At 38.4% G+C, this 22,672-nt stretch overlaps 1 protein-coding gene across 5 annotated transcripts in view, besides 1 other annotated feature; it reads left to right on the top strand.

Moving 5' to 3' along the window:
- Positions 1-22,672, top strand: part of PPM1L (protein phosphatase, Mg2+/Mn2+ dependent 1L) — a 322,672-nt gene that overhangs the window by 172,580 nt on the left and 127,420 nt on the right. The window contains exon 2 of one of the 5 annotated variants that reach the window (NM_001317912.2): positions 10,846-10,945. The exons of the other annotated variants lie outside the window; for them this stretch is intronic. The gene's annotated coding sequence lies outside the window, so the exon portion shown is untranslated. The remainder of the gene's footprint in view (positions 1-10,845; positions 10,946-22,672) is intronic. 5 annotated transcript variants of the gene reach the window in all.
- Positions 18,797-18,997: a silencer, noted in NCBI's record as "peak4889 fragment used in MPRA reporter construct". NCBI's record gives its function as "represses an SCP1 promoter by STARR-seq MPRAs in K562 erythroleukemia cells {active_cell/tissue: K562}" and the evidence as "EXISTENCE:reporter gene assay evidence [ECO:0000049][PMID:32103011]".

Here is a 22,672-nt window from a genome sequence, read left to right on the forward strand (position 1 = left end):
GAGACTGAACCTGCGAATACCTCGATGTTGGGCCTCCCAGTTTCCAGAACTATGAGATAATAAATTTGATTTATAAAATGCTCACTCTGTCGTATATTGTTATAGCAGCACAAATCGATGAAGACAAGCAGATCTAAGGCAGAGATGCAAGGCAGATGGGGTCTAAGTTTCTGATTTAGTTTTCTTTGAGGCAAACCTAACTCCTATGTTTACAGCAGTTTTTTGTTTTGTTTTGCTTTGCTTAAGGTAGCTTGTCAGGTTTCTATGATTTGCTGACTGAAAGAGTTTCAACTCATCTAGTAACCAGTGAATTGAAAAAAACAAGATTCAAGGGGTCTAACCAGAAAGCATTTTTATTTTCCTATTTTCCAATTAGAGTGTATTCAGTAGAGGAAGCTCCTCCCTACCCCAAAATGAAAACTTGGGTGGTCCTATGATTTTTCTCTTAATTTTAAGTAATATACTTTATTACAATGACTTTTAGTTGGAAATTATCAGAGTAGAATGGCCAATTCCATGAGGTACTCAAAACTTCAAAGTTGATATGAGTTAAATCTTCTCCCAGTTTCCCTTCCCCAGTTAAGACCTTTGACAGTTAGAAACTCTGTCTTCCTTAAGTTTCCACTTGCTAGTTGCTGATCCTGCAGGGTCTAAGCTGGAAAAGGAAGGAAAAGAGGGAGAGGAAAAGAGAGGGGGCAGGAAAGTGCTTACTTGGCTGATAGTGACACATGGCTTCATGCTTCAGTGTCTAGTTAAGTGTTTAAAGCTGACTCTTCCTGCTGGTCACTGTGAGTTTCTGCCATGCCTACCCTCTTCATTTTATTTACTTGTAGTGTAGTCAGTGCATTTTCCCCATATCCTGGTTTTCAGCAATCTGTTCCATAAATGCTCCATTGTGAGGTCCTTTCACTGCTCCAGGCAGTCCTCTGGCAGGATCGAAGTGGCTTCAGGCCAGCTCTCTCCCCCTTGTGGCTCGCATCTGTCCACAGGGAGCACTCATGATCCTGGACAGACAAGCACTGGGAGTGCAGGCCAGTCTAGCACAGTCCCCACCACCTTCCCACCTCTCCTTCAGCTTCTGCTCTTCCAGCTTTTCCAGGCAGGAGTCACACACATATCCCCTCCAAACTGTAGGGGCACATGCCAGGCTTCCTGAACAGCCCTTTTGAGGCCCCTCTCTCCTGACTTGCCCACGTCACCATCACTCATCCCTCTGTGTTACATGTGAGAAGGGGGACACTGTGCTCCCAAGAAACCTTCCTCAGAAACTCTCCCTTGATTTCCATACTTTTGACTCTTTCATTTTGAATGTGGGTTAGGGCTTTTTAGAACCACAAAACAGGTCGCAAAGTGTTTCTTTTACAAATGTACACGTGGGCCTGGAACTTCAGAGTGGAATTTCATGAACATGTCTTGGTATCTGTGTTGAAATTTCTAATTTAGCAGTCCCTTAAAAAAAAAAAAGTGTTTTGTAAACTGTGAAGTGCTACACAAATGTGGGGAATTAACTCCCTTTGCCCTGAAGACATACAAGGACTGAATGAAACAAAAGAGAGAATAAAATGTGGTTGTACTTCTTGAAGAAGAAAACACTTGCAAGAGATTTATGGGGGCTAGCCTGAGTGACTTGTTTCTGTATCTCGTTAGTTCATACTTTATTACTTAGTTGAGGTAGTATTGTTCATAATACACAGCTTCCAATTTGTACTGCTTGTAACCGAATTCCGGTTTAGCTGCTCCCCACCTGAAAAACCAAATACATGAGAGGTGAGATATGGTGCAAGGAAGGCAGTTTTATTCAAATGCCAACAGAAGACATGACCAGGCTGAAGCCTCAAAGGAACCATCTCAAAATTTTAGGCGGAGTGAAGGAGTTTAAGAGGGAAGCTTCGTATGGGAAACACGCAGGAGTGGTGCATGCTGTGGGTCTGCATGTCACTTTCTGATGGCCGTCTTCAGTTCTTACACGCCTGGAGTGAGAGCTGGTGCCATTTTGGTTGCGGCTGGGTTGTAGATTCACTGCCTTGAGGTACCTCTAACTGGGGGAGAATTCCATACCTAAGTCTTCATGCCTGGTTCATTTCAAGATTACCCCTTGAATTTCTAAGCAAGCATATGGTTAGATAAGTGCAGAGTGCCAGGGAGTGGGAAAGAGAGGGAAACAGTGAATTTTAAGGTACATTTTAAGGCTGTAGTTTAAGACAGGGGACAAAAAAAGTTTTAAAATGCATTTCTAAGCTGAGAGGTTCAGTTACATGCTCTTCTAACTAAATGTATAAATGACACTAATTAAGACAGTAGGGGACAAACATTTGAAATAAAAAATATGAGTTGCTCAGGCAGCCAGTATTTCTCTGCTTTTTGGTTTAGGCAGCCTGAAGTTTGTACAGACACATACCATGTCCACATACTCAGTGTAGGTTTTTGTGGTTATGGTATTTTGCCTGTGTGCACAAGCTGATTGACCATCCTGTACCACACCAGAAAAGTACTTTCTCCACTCAAAGGTTGGAGAAATTGCTAGAGAACAGGAGAGATCAAATGGGAAGCTGCACCCATCACCTGGAATCCACACGTCCTCATTTATCCATTTAGTTCATTCAGCAATTATTTACTGAACACCTACTATTTTTCCAAGGCACTATGCTAGCCAGTAGGGCTATAGTGGTGAAATAGAGTTTGCTATCTAATGGGGGAAACAAGACATCACACATTGTCATGCCCAATTATAAATTGTGCTAAGTGGCAAGAAGAAAAAGAAAAAGATGGGAGAAGAGCAGGGATCTCCTAACTTAGTTTGGTATGTGTGGGGAAGGCATTCTTGGCAGAGGATACATAAAGGGTGGGTCTCACTATTTGTCCTTGTTTTCAGTTCACATATGTTCCTAATTAAAATTAAATACCATTAGTCAGTATCTAAATATCCTTAGGTTAGGATGTAGTATTTTCCAGGGTTTTGATGCAAACCTATTCTTCCAAAATGTTTTCTTCTTCAGATGGTGCTTTATACTTTTCTTAAGTAGAGCTAAGAATTTGTTTTAAAAAGGCTACTTTGAGAAACATCACTGTTTATTGGAATATAAATTTGTGTATAATACTTTCTCTAAGTAGTCAATTCTGCCTTCTCAGAGACTTTTTTAATGCCAAACTTGAAGAGCTCTTGCAGAGGAGTCATTCTTTTGTTTTTTTGCTCTTTCTCATTCTTTATGGTCAGTTCTTCCACTAATTTATTTTATTTCAAAGCAGGGATCCAAGGGAAGGAGGAGTGAGGAAAACCTTTTTAGCTATGTATGTTTTCTCAAAAAAAAATTTACCTAAGGTTTTCTTCAAGAAAGCAATAAAGTGAATATGGTTTTGAGCATGTTATGAACACAGAGCAATTTGACTTGACTGAAATAGGATGGATTGAGAAAAGCCTGTATTTCCACTGTGATATAATATCTGCTTAAAGTATGGGCTACAGGGAATGCTTGGCACCTCTTCAAGCTATCAGAAGTTTTATTTTGATACAAATTATTTCCCAAATGCTGCATGACATAGGAGACATAGTGCTGGACAGTGCATTAAGAAACTTTGTTTCTGACTTCTATTTTGTCACCTATAGTCTTATTTGGGTAAGTTGTTTAGTTGCTGTATGCCTCAGTTGCCTTAGCTACAAGCTGAGGGTGGTGATAATACCTGCCTCACTGCTTCTCAGAATTGTTGGGGAAATACATGAAGTAATCTTATAGGATGAAGACTCCTTTAAATGATCAAAATCTTCACATTTGATAAATGATTATTATTGCCATTTGTCTGTTTTTGGGTATGATATTCATGGCTGATCTTAGTCTATCAAATCATTTTCCCCAAGTTCATTTATCCTTAGACCAAGATTCATGGCATCTTACCTGTGTGTCTAGCTGGGTAAATGTTTTATGACATGGCTGCCACTAATACAGATATTCCAGGAGGTCATGTATATTAGAAAAACGTGTCTTTTGAAATAGAACTGAATTTGAATTTCAGCCTCATCATTCACTGCTAAACGACCTGGGGAATTTAATCTTTTTGTGCTTCAGTTTTCTCATTGGGAAATGGCTGTGATAATTAAATGATAAACACTGTGAAAATGCTTAACACACTGCCAGGTGTTATGGTAGGCTTTTAATATGTGCTAGTTCTCTTTCCCTTTAAAACAAGCAGAATGGAATCCAGTATTTGCAACACAGGTTATTTTCTTTATAAGAGATCCATGAAGGGAGTATGATTAACACAAATTCAGTTTCTATTTACATTTTGCTGTAGTTGAGAAAGTGAGGCACATCTGTACTTGTTTTCTGATAAAATCATAATTTCTTAGATAAAATTGCCTTGTATTATATGCCATTTTTTTTAGAGAACTGAGTATTAGCTGTTTGTTGATAGAAATGGCACAGAAAGCAATTTGTTGTTTTTATTTTATTATAATTTGAAATGCTATATTTTGAGTGAATTTTTTTTTTGTTATTTACGTAGGACTTATATCTACCTATTTCTAGAAAAGTTTTTGAACTGTTCACAAAATTAAGCCCAATAGAAAACAAGGCAATTAAAAATGAAATTGAAACAAAAATAGGGTAAGCATAAAGGTATCTTCAGACACCTGATGATAAGTGGTATAAAATGGAAGGACAAGAGCTCTTCTTGTTTGTTGCATTTCTTGTTGTTCATTATCATTTTTCATTATCCCTGTTTGAGCATCCCCCACCTCCCTCTCTTCCTTGCCTCCTCATTATTTGGAGGAATGGGAGACATGGGAGCTAGGGAAGTTGGTGGGTAATAAGCCACAGCTGACCAAGAATTTGCAGCATGCAAATAGAAAGCATACATTCTTTTTGTTGCCTTGACTTTTTTTTTTTTAATTCACAGCTTCAAATATTGCATCTGCAAATATATTGTCTCTTGCCTGGGGTATAACCTTTCTTCCTGTCTTTATTTGAAATGTTTCTGAGCCAGGAATGATGGAATGAATGACTCAATCTGATTACATAAAAAAAGATTTTGATACATAGCTTTGTATTTGTGAATTTAAAATGACTGAATTTATCTTTAATAAAAGTGCCTCCTGAGAAATGTGTTTAATGGAGGTTTATGCTGTTATGGATATTTCAACCTAATAGTGTAATTACCATATGTCATTAATCCTATTTCTACAGGGAATTTGTCCCCTTGTTTCTTTTAAAGCTAGAGGGTAACAAGAGCAAATGTTTTTAACTTTAGCACATTATTCATTTTAGATGTAAGTTGACAAGTTGAAGATATGAAAATAAGAAATCTGGATGATCAATTTTTTAAAAAGTGGCAACCATTAAGCTGTGTTCAAAAAGAATGCCTCATGGCATCCCCCTCCTGTGCTGATATTAGTGTAAAACACTTATTTTTAGCTTTTGATTTTCTGTGCTCCCCACCCCAAATACTTTTTTGGTAGGCCTCCTGCTGTGACCAAAGTCAAATAAGTGGAAATGAGGGAAGGTTAACATTTAAGTGATAAATTTAAGAGAAGATTACACATTCAGTGTTTGCTTGCTCAGTCTTCTGAGAGAAAGAGGTGGTGTGATCTGTTGTTTTTTTCTCTTCCCTTCTTTCCATTATTCCCATCCAACATTATGTTATAATGAAAGTAATATATGTTCATTGTAGAAATCCTTAAAAATACAGAAAACTTAGAGAAGGAAAAAAATGTCTCATGTAATTCCTTCACTCCAAAAGAACAACTATTGCTAGAGGTTCTGTAATGATATACATCATTATTTTATGCATATATGGATTCAGGCTGTAGGACAGCTTGGTGAACTTTTTTTTTCCAGTTACCAATATACTATAAATATTTTACATCATTGGCCGGGTGCAGTGGCTCACACCTGTAATCCCAGCACTTTGGGAGGCCGAAGTGGGTGGATCACTTGAGCCTAGGAGTTTGAGACACGCCTGGGCAATGTGGTGAAACCCTGTCTCCACAAAAAGTACAAAAATTTGCTGGATATGGTGGTGCATGCCTGTAGTCCCAGCTGCTTGGGAGGCTGAGGCAGGAGGACCACTTGAGTCCAGGGGGGTTGCAGTGAGCTGAGATTGTGCCATCACACTCCAGCCTGGGCAACAACAGAGTGACACTCTGTCTCAAAAAAAAAAGATCACATCATTAAATCATGTTTTAATGGCTGTATGATGTTTTCTCTACAATATAAATGTATCTAGATATGGACAAAACATAGTTACATGAAAACAAAAGCCTTTAAGCCCCAAACCCTGAAGGTAAGTCACAAATCATATAACCCTGGCATGAGTGAAGACCTGTGTGTTACTCAGCAGTGGCTGAGCTGCTTGGGACCATCCAGAGAGCTTGTAGAACCAAATATGTAGTCGTCAGGGACTGCTCAACTTCTTTTGATTATAAATAATAACTCCTGTTAACTTTATATTGGCAATTGTTTAATTCTGTCACCCTGAAGATGTAGTTTCGATTCTGATCTGTTGCTCTTATCTCCACCCTAACTTAATCTTCTTTAAAGAATGGTATAATTTACAACAGTCAGGGTAACCTTTCTGGAGGTAAGGAGGCTAGGAGAGTGACTGGGTGCGTACATCTGTATGTGTATATAAATGCCCCCTTCTTGTTTGGTTTAGCATAGTTAAAAAAGTAGTGATCCATCAGATAGAGTTTGCTGGGCCAGAAATACTGCAGTGCAGCAGAGACCTTGGAAAAAGTGAGATAGCATATGCTTAAGCAATACTGCACTAGTGTTGCATAAATGGTGGAGGCTGCGGCTCCCCTGTTTGTTTTTCCCAGCAGACTTGTCCTGAGGCGAAGCTGTGCTACCTGAAAGGAGAAGCTTCAGTGATGGAGTCCTAATTGTACCAAATCAAAGTTCATTGAGTCAGCTAGGTCATTAACTCGTTGATATTTAATTACTAGCTGCTTCACTGCTGGAAAATGTCATTAAGCCGTTGTACTAAATCTGCTTTAAAGAATGCATTTTCCTTTTTGAATGGTTCATGTTTTGTAGTCTTGTAGAAAAATCAGAAAAACATCTGAACAATCCAGTAAAGCTGGCAATCCCAGCTGCTGTGTCCTCAGCCACCATTGGTCTCTCAGGCCTGCATCTGATTGTGGGCAGGCCCTGCAGAAGAAACACATCTGGAGATTCGGCAATAAACTAAGACTTACCTGGGTCAAGGGTGTGGAAGAGCTTTGAAGTGGGTCGTTGTTCTAGATGTTTTATCTGTTTGGGTCTCTCCCACCTCTTCTGTTAACAATTATAAGGGTTATGTGGGGGAACTTGGAGAGAATTTTTTTTTTCCCCAGGCTGGAGTGCAGTGGCACAATCTCGACTCACTGCAACCTCCGCCTTCCAGGTTCAAGCGATTCTCCTGCCTCAGCCTCCTGAGTAGCTGGGATTACAGGTGCCCACCACCACGCCCGGCTAATATTTTTTGTATTTTTAGTGGAGATGGGGTTTCACTATGTTAGCCAGGCTGGTCTCAAACTCCTAACCTCGTGATCCACCCACCTCGGCCTCCCAAAGTGCTGGGATTACAGGCATGAGCCACTGTGCCTGGCCAGGAGACTTTTTAATCAAATTTCTTGACATTATTTTAATGGTCTGAGATTCATTCAACCCTAGGTAGCAATCTAATGTTGTGAAGAATGTATGCAACAGCTTCTCTAAAACAGCTGTAAGTGCATAAAGTTTCTCGGATGTTTAGTATTCCCAAGGGTGTATTTTGAAATATGGTTTCAGAATCAACAAAATTGTTTCTTAATGTACTGTTTTGCTTGTGTAATTATGCCAGTTAGTTAATGGCAGAAACATTATAATGGAAAACAACCTTAAATATGAAGTATTTAAAACAGTTGTGAGATTTTGTTTCCCAAATGGACTTAATAAATCCTACCTGATATTATATTTCCTTTTTAGGAGAGTTTAATCCATTTGTCGTCATTATAATTATCTTATTGATCCTGACCTTTTAAATTACTTTCTTATGGTTTATCATGTCACACAGGTGGAGCCTCATATGTATTGATAGTTATACAGTGTTTGATATAATAATTCTAAAAGTAGAATGAATTTCACTTGAAAAAACCAATCTAGTGTGAATTTTGTTCAGGCTGAGCGGGTTTCTTTCCCCTCTTAATTTTAGTTTAATTGAGAGAATACATCTGTGGTTCTTAGCTTAGTGCCTGGCCTATAGTAAATGCTCAATAACCGTCAGCACTTGTGAACATTTTTATTATATTCACTAAAATATTTCAGTTCATTTGTTTTTTACCTCTAGTAGAAGCTGGTATGCTTTTGTTTGAAATAATGAAATCTCTCAGTATTTATATTTACATAGTCTTACACAATTAAAAGAAAAGTAAACTCTATGAATATATTCTAATAAAATACGTTTCCCAGGAGCTGGTTAAATAATTTAAATTCATTTAATAGTCATCTCAGAATTATAACTTTTCTCATTTATCATCCATTTTATTTAATGATGAAAGAATACAAAACCATGTAAGAGGCCAGGCGTGGTGGCTCACGCCTGTAATCCCAGCACTTTGGGAGGCTGAGGTGGGTGGATCACAAGGTCAGGAGATCAAGACCATCCTGGCTAACAGGGTGAAACCCCGTCTCTACTAAAAATACAAAAAATTAGCCAGACGTGGTGGTGGGCGCCTGTAGTCCCAGCTACTTGGGAGGCTAAGGCAGGAGAATGGCATGAACCCAGGAGGCTGAGCTTGCAGTGAGCCGAGATCGCGCCACTGCACTCCAGCCTGGGTGACAGAGCAAGTCTCCGTCTCAAAAAAAAACAAAAAACAAAAAACAAACAAACAAAACATGTAAGAGAAATCTTTGACCCAATTGGAATAAAATGGCTATTGTCTGCTTAAAGCATTTCAATGCTTTGTACTATTTTTTGAAGTCCATATAGTCAAGGTCCCAAATGTTTTATGCCCTCAAAGCACAATGAATTTACATGAAGAGTCACTAAATGGTAGGAACTGTTGTGTCTCAAGTTCAGGATACTTTCTAAGTGTATGTGTTTTAATATTTTTATTATTGTTCAACATTACTTTTTGCAGGTATGATCTACATAAAATTAAGAGAGTGTGGTTTAAGTTTGTTGATACTTAAATTTATTTTAAAAGACTGACCTCAAGAGTGCTTGTCCTGAAATGTTAAGTGATTTTAAATTCTTGATAGGAAGTCCATACAAGTATTTTTCCTGCTTCATCCTTATATCATTACTTCTTATTATCACCACACTCTTATAATGTTGAAAATCAGTCACATTTGGTCTCATTTTTGCTGCCTTAGTTAAGGCTCAGCAAGAGAATTGCTATTATTTAATAAATAGATTTGTTCATTGTCCCTAATGTGACAGCAGGAATTTGAAGCCATCTGATTTCTTAGCTGGTTCTGTTAATTCAATAATGGCGTCCTACTACCAACTGATGGCTGCTAAGTCACCAAAGCTAAGGTAGAGGTGTTGGAGAAACTTCCGTTTCAATGATACATGAAAATATGAGCATATTTGTAACCTTCTGGATAATCAATATGCTTCTATCCTTTAGGTTTATGGAGTTTAACCTTGCGAGATTACCACTTAATATGATAGCTGCAAAATAGATTGTCATATTAGGAGCCTGTGAACTATTATCTTTACTCTGCTATTAGTCTATCAATATTATGGTTAATTCTCAGGATTTCCAGATTATATAGGCTTTGCAGATTCTTTGTAGCCTGCCTTAAATTACTCATTAACACCTCCGAAGTAGGGTAGTTTGGTAGAGGGAAATAAATAACTAAAATTTATGGAATAAAATTTAAGACATAAAGTGATTTTGAAGATCTTCTAATCCAATCCCTTTAGCCCACTCCCCTGTTTTACAGGTAAGGGGACTGACAGCCAGTGAGGTTAAGTAATGTGTACAAGAGCACACAGTCACAGAACTGGCTGATTGCTGTGTGACTGGGAACCCAGATTTCCTAGTCTTGTTCAGGACTCCTTCCAGAAGTTGGAATAACAGAACTTTATTGCCCTGCATTTTACTATGGAACAGAATGAACTGTGCAAAAACAGCATGCCTTACCCACTTCTAAAGACTTTTGAAACAGGTGAGTTGTGGGGCGCAACTGTTATTAGAGCAGCTCCAAGGCAAGAACCCAAGGACAGAGCAATGACAGGGCTCTGAAAAATAGGTATAGAAATAGCACATATGTTTGAGAGTCATAATGAGGAATAAATAAGATAATGCATTTATGCACTTAGCGTAGTGTTCAACATATAGAGAGTTTTCAATAAATATTAGCTATTGCTATTTATCATAGAATTAAAATTCTTAAGTATCCTTATAGAGTTCCAGCCTGCTGTTAGTTCTGATCTTCCGCCATTTCCTTTCCCTTCCCCTCCAAACACACGTACATACTCTTCCCTCCAGCTCTATAACTCTGCAGCTCTGTAGCCCAATTCTAAACCCCAAATATCCATGTTTTTCATGCCTTTATGTCTTTATATAGAATGTACTCTCCACCTGGATTGCTACCCAGCCCATTATTCTGCTCCGCAACTCCTTACATCCCTCAAAATTTGGCTCACATATCCCTTTGGACATGGTATGATATGGTTTGGCTGTGTCCCCACCCAAATCTCAACTTGAGTTGTATCTCCCAGAATTCCCACGTGTTGCGGAAGGGTCCCAGGGAGAGGTAATTGAATCATGGGGCCCTGTCTTTCTCATGCTATTCTCATGATAGAGAATAAGTCACATGAGATCTGATGGGTTTATTAAGGGTTTCCGCTTTTACTTTTTCCTCATTTTTCTCTTGCCACCAGCATGTAAGAAGTGCCTTTCATCTCCTGCCATGATTCTGAGGCCTCCCCAGCCATGTGGAACTGGAAATCCAATTAAACCTCTTTTTCTTCCCAGTCTCAGGTATGTTTTTATCAGCAGCATGAAAATGGACTAATACAGTAAATTGGTATCAGTAAAGTGGGGTGTTGCTGAAAAGGTACCTGAAAATGTGGAAGTGACTTTGGAACCGAGTAACAGGCACAGGTTGGAACAGTTTGGAGGGCTCAGAAGAAGACAGGAAAATGTGGGAAAGCCTGGAACCTCCTAGAGACTTGTTGAATGGCTTTGACAAAAATGCTGACAATGATATGAACAATAAGGTCCAAGATGAGGTGGTCTCAGATGGAGACGAGGAACTTGCTGGGAACTGGAGCAAAGGTGATTTTTATTATGTTTTAGCAAAGAGACTGGTGGCATTTTGCCTCCGCCCTAGAGATTTGTGGAACTTTGAACTGGAGAAAGATGATTTAGGGTATCTGGCAGAAGAAATTTCTAAGCAGGAAAGCATTCAAGAGGTGACTTGGGTACTGTTAAAGGCATTCAGTTTTATAAGGGAAGCAGAGCACAAGCATTTGGAAAATTTGGAGCCTGACTATGCAATAGAAAAGAAAAACCCATTTTCTGGTGAGAAATTCAAGCCAGCTGCAGAAATTTGCATAAGTAGCAAGGAGCCTAATGTTCATCCCCAAGACCATGGGGAAAATGTCTCTAGACCATGTCAGAGACCTCATGGCAGCCCCTCCCATCACAGGCCTGGAGGCCCGGGAGGAAAAAGTGGTTTTGTGGGCTGGGCGCAGGGTCCCTGTGCTGTGTGCAGCCTAGGGACTTGGTGCCTTGTGTCCCAGCCACTCCAGCCTTGGCTGAAAGGGGCCAATGTACAGCTCGGGCTGTGGCTTCGGAGGGTGGAAGCCCCAAGCCTTGGCAGCTTTCATGTTGTATTGAGCCTAGGGGTGCGCAGAAGCCAAGAATTGAGGTTTGGGAACCTCTGCCTAGATTTCAGAAGATGTATGAAACTGCCTGGATGCCCAGGCAAAAGTTTGCTGCAGGCGTGGGGCCCTCATGGAGAACCTCTGCTAGGGCAGTGTGGAAGGGAAATGTGGCATTAGAGCTCCCACACAGAGTTCCTACTGGGACCCTGCCTAGTGGAGCTGTGAGAAGAGGGCTGCCATCCTCCAGATCCCAGAATGGTAGATCCACCCACAGCTTGAACTGTGGGCCTGGAAAAGCTGCAGACACTCAACACCAGCTCATGACAGCAGCCAGGAGGGAGGCTATACCCTTTAAAACCACAGGGGTGGAGCTGCCTAAGACCATGGGAACCCACCTCTTGCATCAGCGTGACCTGGATGTGAGACCTGGAGTCAAAGATCGTTTTGGAGCTTTAAAATTTGACTGCCCTGCTGAATTTGGGACTTGCATGGACTCTGTAACCCCTTTGTTTTGGCCAATTTCTCCCATTTGGAATGACTGTATTTACCCAATACCTGTACCCACATTGTATCTAGGAAGTAAATAGCTTGCTTTTGATTTTACAGGCTCATAGGCAGAAGGGACTTGCCTCGTCTCAGGTGAGACTTTGGACTGTGGACTTTTGGGTTAATGCTGAAATGAGTTAAGACTTTGGAGGACTGTTGGGAAGGCATGTTTGGTTTTGAAATGTGAGGACATGAGATTTAGAGGGGACAGGGGCAGAATGACATGCTTGGCTGTGTCCCTACCCAAATCTCAACTTGAATTGTATCTCCCAGAATTCCCATGTGTTGTGAGAGGGACCCCGCAGAGGTAATTGAATCATGGGGGCCAGTGTTTCTCATGGTATTCTCATGATAGTGAATAAGTCTCACGAGACCTGATGGGTTTATCAGGGGTTTCTGCTTTTGCTTCTTCCTCATTTTTTCTCTTGCCACTGCCATGTAAGAAGTGCCTTTCCCCTCCCGCGATGATTCTGAGGTCTCCTCAGCCATGTGGAACTCTTAAGTCCAATTAAGACTCTTTTTCTTCCCAGTCTCGGGTATGTTTTTATCAGCAGCATGAAAATGAACTAATACATGGTGTTTCTGAGGCTTCTCAATTAGAGAATTTGTTGTATTATTTTGTAGTTATTTATTTACAAGTCATCTGCTTCCTTAAGTGATAAGCTCTTTGAGGTCAAGTACTGTTTCTTTTAGCTCTATGTGTTTATTAGCAAATGCTTGGAGTACGATAAACATTTGATAAATGTTAAAAGAATGAATACTTGAATGAATTATTAGGCTTACTTTGTAACTCAGTTCAGCCAGCCCTCTGCTTTTCATAGCTGTGAATTTTGACAGTTGCTCATGTAGTAGACAAGAGGACAACCACGCTTACTACTTTATTCATTTTCCCTTTCGAGTGTCATAGATGTTAAACATTTCACTTGATTCATGGGTGCCATCTGGTGGAGGAAAGGCTAACTACAGATGCATGCTTCACCAAAACATGTAGAAGTTTAAGATTATTACTGCTCATTAATATGGAAGTTGTCACTGTTTCCTGGTAGTTTCCAGAAGTGTAGTCAGGAAAAACTCCTTGGCGACTGCTTTTTTCATTCCTGTACATTGGTTTCTTATTTTTATTTTGTAGAGATGGGAGTCTTGCTATATTGCCTAGGCTGGTTTCAAACTCCCTGACTCAAGCAATCCTCCCACCTTGGCCTCCCAAAGTGCTGAAATTACGGATGTGAGCCATCACACCCAGCCTTAATTTTAGGAAGTTGTTCATTCATGAATAATGTTTGAAAATATTTTTTAAAAAGATACGTGTTATTAAATATTGTTTACTTGTCAGTGTGGCAATTTATGTGATTTAAGGTAAACTGATTATTTAAAGTTTGAGATACTGAATTTTTAAATTTTTCCATGACACTGAGTTTTTTATTCATTCATTCTCCAAGCATTTATTGAGCATCTACCTAATGCCTGACATTGTAAAAAGTGCTAAAGAACCAGAAATGAAAGACAGTATGAGTCTTGGTCCAAAGAATAGTTAGGTAAGAATGTAAACCATGTAACTTTTCATAAGACAAATCATACAAACTTCATTTAGATTTTCATAAGAATTCCTTATGTGCATGGACCCCTCCATGTGCATATAAACATCATAGATATAAAGCTACCAGTTTTAGACTTGCCATTTTGATGGATTTTCTTCGAGTATATAAATCTAAAGGGAAATTCTTTATGATTTTTCATAAAAAGTAGATATTTATTCAATATTCACATTTCTGTACTGCTTACACTCTACCTATCTGAAGGATAGACTTTTTTTTTTTAAGCTACCTGGAACATTGTAATGAAGCAGGAAGTAAACAAAAAGGAACTGAGGAGTAAAAAACAATCACAAAACTCATGTACCTTTCTCCAGTAAGAAGGTTAAACATTTTCCAAGTCTTAAGGCTAGATAATTGTGCATAAAGCAGCCTCTTAGAAACAGGATTATCTGCCAATGGAGGAGAACCAAGAGCTTCTCACAGCGATCAGGGTAATGTGCTGTGGAAACCAAACTCATATGCAGGAGACATGCATGCCACAACCCTCCCTTTGTGTTCCCAAGGTAGCCCTAAATCATCAAGAAAATGCTGGATTTTCTTCTGTGCATTCTTTTTGAAAAACTTTGAGAAGTATGTTTTTTCATTTTGAAGCATTTTCATCAAAAGAGGTTAAAATAATTTTTCATCAGTTGGAGTATTAAAGTTGAGTTAAATGGGACATTCACTTACGTGGAACTCTTCATTCCCTGATGGCACTCATTAAATGAGGTATTGTGGAATTTAGCTATCATTTACAGAAGTTGTATTTGAAAGATTATACAAGATACACACATAGAAATCCAAACTTAATTTTCTTTTTAATTGAAGAACTGGAAAGGATTCTGAGAATTTACCTAGTTCTTAGGAAGGATACCATTAAAATATTGTATTAAAATGTGTTATATGTAAAATTTTGTTTTGTACTGCTCTTGAAGGAAAGATTTCAAACAGAATTGGCATTTCATTTAATTGATAGTAGAAATTCAGTGCAAAAATGGCCAGCCACCTGTCTTCTGAAGTTCTATTAATCTTCACTATTTAATTGCCTGAATGTGGACATAGATTTGTGTTAGAAAAGAAAGCTTGGTTTGTTGTGTGTGTCTCATAAGTCATGTTGACTTATTTAGTGACTTCTTTATTCTAGGGCACTTGTATCAACACAATGTGTTTTGAAGAAGAATCACAGGTACTACCTTGGGGAATATAAGGAAATTAATAATTGGGTATATTGTAGATGGCAAAGTTTATAATTTTTCTCATCTCTTTCCATAATGCTTTATGACATCTGGAACTTGCTTGTTGCAACCATAAATCTTCACGTGGATCATCCTTGTTTATGGACTATTTGGGTATAGGACATAAAGATAGGACACTGTTCCACAGCAGATTTTTTTTTCTTGCTGTTTGAGAGACACCAGCCTTCACTAAGCAGTTCATTATTTTCTAAGGTTGGAGCAGCTGTGGATCACCATAATTATGGATTTAGTATGTCCCTGCCAACCTACTGTGAATCTTAATTCAAATTTTACATGTCTCTTTGGGGCCTTGTTAATTTTCTCATTATTATGTGGTTCCTGACAAATGACAGTTTTGAGAATCTAAAGTTGCTTAAGTTAGTTTTTTATGAGGTATTGCCAATTGCTCATTGTTTTTATAATGCTTAATCACATTTTTATTTTTAATCTTACATTAAATAAAGCAGCTGCCCTTTATAATGTCTGGGTGTATTTTTACCCATCCATTTTCTCTGAGGACTGCTAAAAGACTACAATTTCTAAGACTCTCTAACTTTTTAGGTTATATGGTCAAGCAGAAAGAAAGAAAACGCCTAAGAAAAATATCTGGAGTGTTAGAATTTTTAAATCAGAGCTATTTCAAGGTGAGGACGATGATGTGCAGCTTATTTTTGTACACCTCAAATTTAACACAGTGCCCCATACATGAAGGCACATAATAAATGCAAGCTAAAAAATTAATTTTATATATAATATATATGTTATATATAACATGTTATATATTATATAATATATATGTTATATATAACATGTTATATATTATATTATATATGTTATATATAACATATATAACATATATATGTTATATATAACATATATATGTTATATATAACATATATTATATATAATGTTATATATAACATATATATTATATATAACTGATGTTACATATATAATATATAGTGGAGATATATATATTATATATAACTATATATAACTATATAACATATATTATATATAACTATATATAACATATATATAACTATATATAACATATATATTATATATAACTATATATAACATATATATTATATATAACTATATATAACATGTTATATATAACTATATATAACATGTTATATATAACATATATGTTATCTATCTATCTATCTATCTATCTATCTATCTATCTATCTCCACTGATTTTGTTTTAGTTTGGCCATCCATCTGTAACAGTGTTTGGCACACATTTTCTGTAAAGAGCCATGTGGTAACTATCTTAGGCTTTGCATACCATCCAGTCCCTGTCTCAGCTGCTCAACTCTACCATTATAGTGCAAAAGCAGCCATAGGCAATATATAAACAAATGGGCACAGCTATGTTCCAGCAAAACTTTATAAAGACGGATGTTTGGGCTTCAGTTTGCCATCCTGAATTTAGACCAAGGCTCATAAAGAGGTCTCATCTCATGTGCTAACTTTGATTGATTGGTGGCTGCCTTGGAATACTGTATTGAGAAGGAATCTCAGGGTCAATCTAGGTTCAGTGGTAAATAATTCATTAGTTAATGGCTGCCATAGGCATTGTTTTGATCTGTCCTATAATTTATTTTGAGGACACTGTGACTTGTGCAGATGGTTGCCTTTATTTCTTTGCATTGGGTGCCAAGAAACTCAGAGTTACTTTTTAATCATCTGTAACAAATATAGTTGACCCTTGAACAACCTGGGTTTGAACTGCACAGGTCCACGTACACACAGATTTTCTTCTGCCTCTGTCAATCCTAAGACAGCAAGACCAACTCCTCCTTTTTCTCCTCCTCCTCAGCCTACTCAACATGAAGATAACGAGGATGAGACCTTTATGATGATCCACTTACACTTAATAAATAGTAAATATGTTTTCCTTATGATTTTCTTAATAACATTTTCTTCTCTCTGGCTTACTTTGTTGTAAGAATACAATAGATAATACATATACCATACAAAATATGTATTAATCAACTATTTATGTTATTGGTAAGGCTGTCATTCAACAATAGGTTATTAGTAGTTACATTTTGGGGGAATCAAAAGTTATTTGTGGGTTTTTGACTGTGTTGGAGTTAAGGGTCAACTGTATGTATGTAACCCCATGTTGTTTAAGGGTCAACTGTAAAAGGAATAGTAAAGCACATATTTTGCATCTAACTTTATCCCTAGCTTCATCTCAATTTTACCATCTTACTTTTCTTAGCCCAGAGTTCCTAAAACTTGCCTACATAAAATATTTATGAAACCATAGACTTTACCAAAGAGCAAAGGCTTACTGGGGGTTTGCAAGGACACATCTACAAAACATTGATAATCATACCTACCTTGCAGGGTTGGTGAGAATTAAATGAAGTAATTAATATAAAATACCAAGCACAGTACCTGGTACATAGTAAATACTGCATACATGGTAGCTGTTAAATGTATGCCTTCAGAGAGCTCCGCCAACCCACATAGAAGGGTAAATCACATTACTTCTGATTTCTCCAGCCCTCCTTGCAGATAGGTGGAAAAACCCCTGAAGATGTAAAAACTCTCTCTTGATTACCCAGATTTCATCTTGTGGAACTGAGTCCTCCCTGTGGGAAATACTAGGCCACTCTATACATTTGAGTATTTTTTTTTCCTACTCCTCTGTTTGTGGGCAACTTTCTGTGTGGAATAGGACCACGTATCCACACAGGAAAATAACAAGGTGGGATTTGGAGTGGGGAGACCATTGGGCTTCTTTCCTTTGCCTTTGAAAGTGCCACTTTCTTGTCATACTGGGCAATTTCCATGCAATTCTTAAAAGTTCATTTTAATTTTATTCCACTGAGTTTTGGGGCAAGAATTTTACAAATTGAGATGAATGATTTGAAGTTAGTTGATGCTTATCAATTGATGCTATTTTAGCCCACAGTTCCCTTCATAAAATAATATCTTTTCTGACTTAAAAAATGACTGGTATAAGACACCCAGATATTTTACAATTCTACATGCTATAGCAAAGAATCAAAATGGTGTACATTCTACACTTGAGAGAAATGTGAAAGGAGAGTTGCCAACACTAAAGCAGCAGCATGAGTAAGAAAGAGAAAGAGTGAAAAATACACAAAGTGTTAACTGGCAAGTCAGGAGCTCATTAGGCCTAACCTTGTTCTTAACTCAGACTCTTCATCATAAACCCATTTTAATGAAAAGAAATTCGGAAACTAATTTTTCCCCACAACAAATAGAAAGTTAGTATTGGTTTTAGCTGGGCAAATGTAGTGATATTTCTCCCTTCCTTAATGTTCCTCAGCAGTCCCAATGGCCGGTATCTAGCACCTCAGAGCAATTTTGAAGCCTTTTCTCCTGTAAAATACAACTTCTATTCACCCATGGCTCTAATTTATCCACATTTTTGAAAATTCATATCAATAAAATATACTGTTTTTCCTGTCTGTGTTAGCTTCTTCTTGCTCCTTATCCCTTTGTCTGTGAACCTCCTCATCATTTTTTAGATCTTGGCTTTACATCACTCTCTCAGGAAACCCTCTTCTCCCCATTCCTCCTTCACCCCCAACCAGGCTATTTAGGTTCTTTGTTTTATCTCATCAAAGAATCTTGTTCATTTCTATCTCCCCACTAGACCATAAGCACCATGAGAGCAGGGACATGTCTACTTCTGCCCACTCCCCAAGAACAGCTAAAAGAGCACACCCGTCTATGTAGCAAAATAGTGGGAAGATTCATGGGTAGTGGTGACAAGCCCTCCAAGCCTGGTGATAGCTGGTTGTCCAAGATAGAATCTTAGTTCAACTTTAAATTTACCTACAGAACCACTTAATTCCCCTGTAAATTTAACTGTTAGTCTAAAGACGGACAGCTCTTTAGACACTAGGAAACAACCTTTATGTAGAGAGTAAAAAATATTATTTCCATAATTGGCCCAAAAGCAGCCATCAATTAAGAAAGCGTTCAAGCTCAACACCTAACCACCCAAAATTCTAATCGCACCACTGAACTCCTTACATCACATTGGACTAATCTATTACTTTATAGAAGCAGTAATGTTAATATAAATAACCATTTATCTCTAGCACCTAGCACAGTGTCCAGCACATAGTCGACATCCAATAAATATTAATTAAAAGGATATACTTCTAGCTTATGACTGTGACTGCCCGTCCAGCTATTTTCTTATGGAGTTGAAGTCAGACTTGGGAAAAAGATATATTTTTCTCTGTAAGGTTCATGAACTGTATGCCCATCCAAATTTTAAAATATGTCATTTTCTATTTACACAAGCAGGTGCAGTCACTGCTGAAACTATAGCTTTTCCACACAATTAGGTATCTCATTTTCCTCTTGCTAAAATAAGATACCCTTTCAAACCTTGTTTGCATAGTTATGCAACACTGCCGGTGATGCTGAGTTCCTTTCCCTTCTGCTATATTTTGCTGCAGCTTTCCAGGATTCAAAGTCCCACTTGCAGTCCTCGGCAGGAGGGGTCAGGTCAGTGTTCTTACCATGCCTGGGATGGTCAAGAGGAAATCATTGTGTTTTCACAGTGCTTTGCCACAGGTCATTTTGTGGCCTGTTTTACGCAGCTTGCTGAGATTTGCCTGATTGCCCACAAGCTGTTGGGAAAGGATTCCAGGTGCTCCCTTGCATTAGAAGTACACAAGGTCAGTTAGTTTGCTTCAGGAAAGGGCTCAGCCTTCTTGAGGCTGAGCAGACTAGCAATTTTGTATGATTTAAAAAAGCTGTGGCACTGAGGGTTGAAAGGCCATGTAGGAACGTCATTGCATATAGTCAAGGTTTTCCCAGGAATTAAAAATGTTTACTTGCCAAACTCTGTCTTGGGGGACTCTTCTTGTGGAGGGTCTTGTACAACCCTAGATGTACATCAGAATTTGTTACAAAGCTTTGTAAAAATACACATGTCTAGACCTTAGAAAATCAGAATCTCTAGGGGGTAGAATCTGGTGTTTTTCACCTGTTAGTGAGCCTGTTAAAATACGGCAAACATTTAAAAAGTAGATTCTAGAGTCCTACCCTAAAAAAAGTTGATTTACTAAATATGGAGCAGGCCCCATGAATCTGCGTTTTTAAAGAAGGCAATCCCCTCTTTCCACCCTAGGTGACTTAGAAGCAGTTGGTTGGAATACCAGCCATGAAGAAACACTGATGAAGCCCAGTGACCGAATTTTGTAGAAAAAACCGAAGCCCTGTCCTAGTGCCCTTCCCCTGTATGGAGCTAATAAGGCTTCACCATGACCCTGTTTATGAGCTTTATACCTGGATTCCTAAAATAAGACATTAGATACTGTGTGTGTATTTCTGGGAAAAGGATTTGTTGCTCTCAGAGATTTTTTAGTCGGGTTGAAAATAATACAAAAATATTTGAAAATACATTTTTATCATGAGATACAACAGGCTGTGGCTCTGTCCAAACCAGCAGTCCTTGCAAGTGGGTTCCTGTGGTATAAAATAAGGTGTGATGCTCGGCAAGTATAAAATAGTCTGACATTTATATGATTTATGGCAGAAGAGAGGCAAATGTCAGAGTGATAGGAAGAAACATTGTGGGCACGGTCCCTTTTATCTTTCTTTGTGGTCATGTAGAGTTCTCACTCATAGGACATTAAGCCTGGTTTTAAAGCACCCATTCCCCATCCTTTTCTGCCATCGTGCCTACATTGGACTAAGTGTCAGGGAGACCCACATAGATGAAAAAGCTTCTGTCCTACCTGCTAGTTGCTCATAAACTAGTGGGAAGGCAAATAGGTGACTAGATAGAGACACTTTGAAGTGGTTGAGAGCTGTAACGGAGATCTGAACATAGTACATTGTGGTGACAAGTGGGAAAGCAATTGCTTTAATTCTGAGAGACTACTTTTGCAACCAAGGTGATGATTCCTATTTGTACAGAAGTTTTAAAACTATATGTATGCAGTAGATGCTACTGAATTTGTTCTTTATTTACCCATATGTGAGATACAACAAATTAAGTTTGCTTCGTTAGGTTAGCCTCAAATAAGCTTTGATGGCAGGTCTCGAAGTGGGAGCCAGAGAGAGAAGAGTAATTTAGACCTTCAAGGAGCACAGATCTTTGTGTTTTCCTCCACACAAAGTTAAATTTCAGAGTAGAGAACATTTGTCTTTCTTTATCTTCACTTTCATACTTTACACTCCATTCCCAGGAGTCTCCTTGGGTGCCTTATTGCTTGTCAATCCACCTCCTTGTAGGTAAAAATCTGATCAACTTGCTCACACTAAGACTGAATATTTACTTAGCATACTACCCCTCCTTAAAATATTTACCTTTTGGTAGGTGAAGAGCTGGCATTAACCGAAGATTGAAGCTATAATGATAGAATTTCAGGCGTCAAAAAAGGGAAAACGATTTGGGGATGGGGATCCTTTTGGGGTTACTCACATCACGCTAAATAAGGCAGTTACCAGCTCTCAGGACAGAAAGACCAGGCCTTCTCCATACCCCAACTACACATACAAGGAGCCTTAATCTAATACAGGTTTTGAAGGCACTTCTTAAAGTCATGTCAGATGGGAGACAGAAGCCCAACTGGCATTCGTCTGGAGCTTCCCTGCCACCCTGGCCACACCTGCCTCCTGGAGGTCCACTCTAAAGAGCCTTGTAGGTAGCTGCAGGGCAGAAGCCAAATAAGGCCCAGTAGGAGATCTCTGGTGCTACTCCTATATAAATAGTGGTTGCCGGCCAAAGAACAGTTTTATCTGACCATGTTTTGGCTACCTTCTAAGCAGCTGCTCTACTGTCATAGCTTCAGAGTTCTTTTTGATTAATAACTCATGAGTGTTTTAGAGTTCACTTCTACCAGTTCCACTGGCTTCCTGAATTCCCAAGGGCATTTTCAGTTAGCATTCCACAGGGAACTTTCTGGAATACATTTGGATAGCACTAATGGAAGTTAATATTTCTCCAAGCTCTATAGCCCAAGATTCAGAAAGGGAAGGGAATTTTATCAGTAATTAACCATAATTTTCTCTGATTTATGAAACATAGTTCTCTCTGTAAACAAATATTACTTTTCATTTTTCTTCTATGGATCTCAAGTGCATAGAATGTGAAACATCTTCTTTCTGTAACTGCAGAAAAGACAGGAACTCACTCATAACAAAATTTAGCCAGATTGCTTTGGCTGAGTGCCGCTTGTTTTCTCAACAGATTGATGAGAAAGTCCGACATTAGGCTGTTTTTATGTTGCCATCCCTCAGGGGAACATAGATGTGTATTTGTGCTTTAAAACAAAAACATCATGAAACTAGTACAAACTATTCCCCCTGAATCCCTTAACCTATCCCTGGAATATGTGTAATATTGAGGGGCAAAGAATTCATCATCACTGTGGCAGTAGGGAAGTAAGGTCAACTTTTTGTTAGACTGTAAAGCAGATACATTTTTTAATCCTTTAGAGTTTGAGGGTAGGTTTTGATCGAAATAATAAGATAAGGAAAATGGGCCACATAGCTGAACAATGTTTG

This window comes from Homo sapiens, chromosome 3, assembly GCF_000001405.40.
Source record: "Homo sapiens chromosome 3, GRCh38.p14 Primary Assembly".
In the NCBI taxonomy this organism is placed as follows: domain Eukaryota; kingdom Metazoa; phylum Chordata; class Mammalia; order Primates; family Hominidae; genus Homo; species Homo sapiens.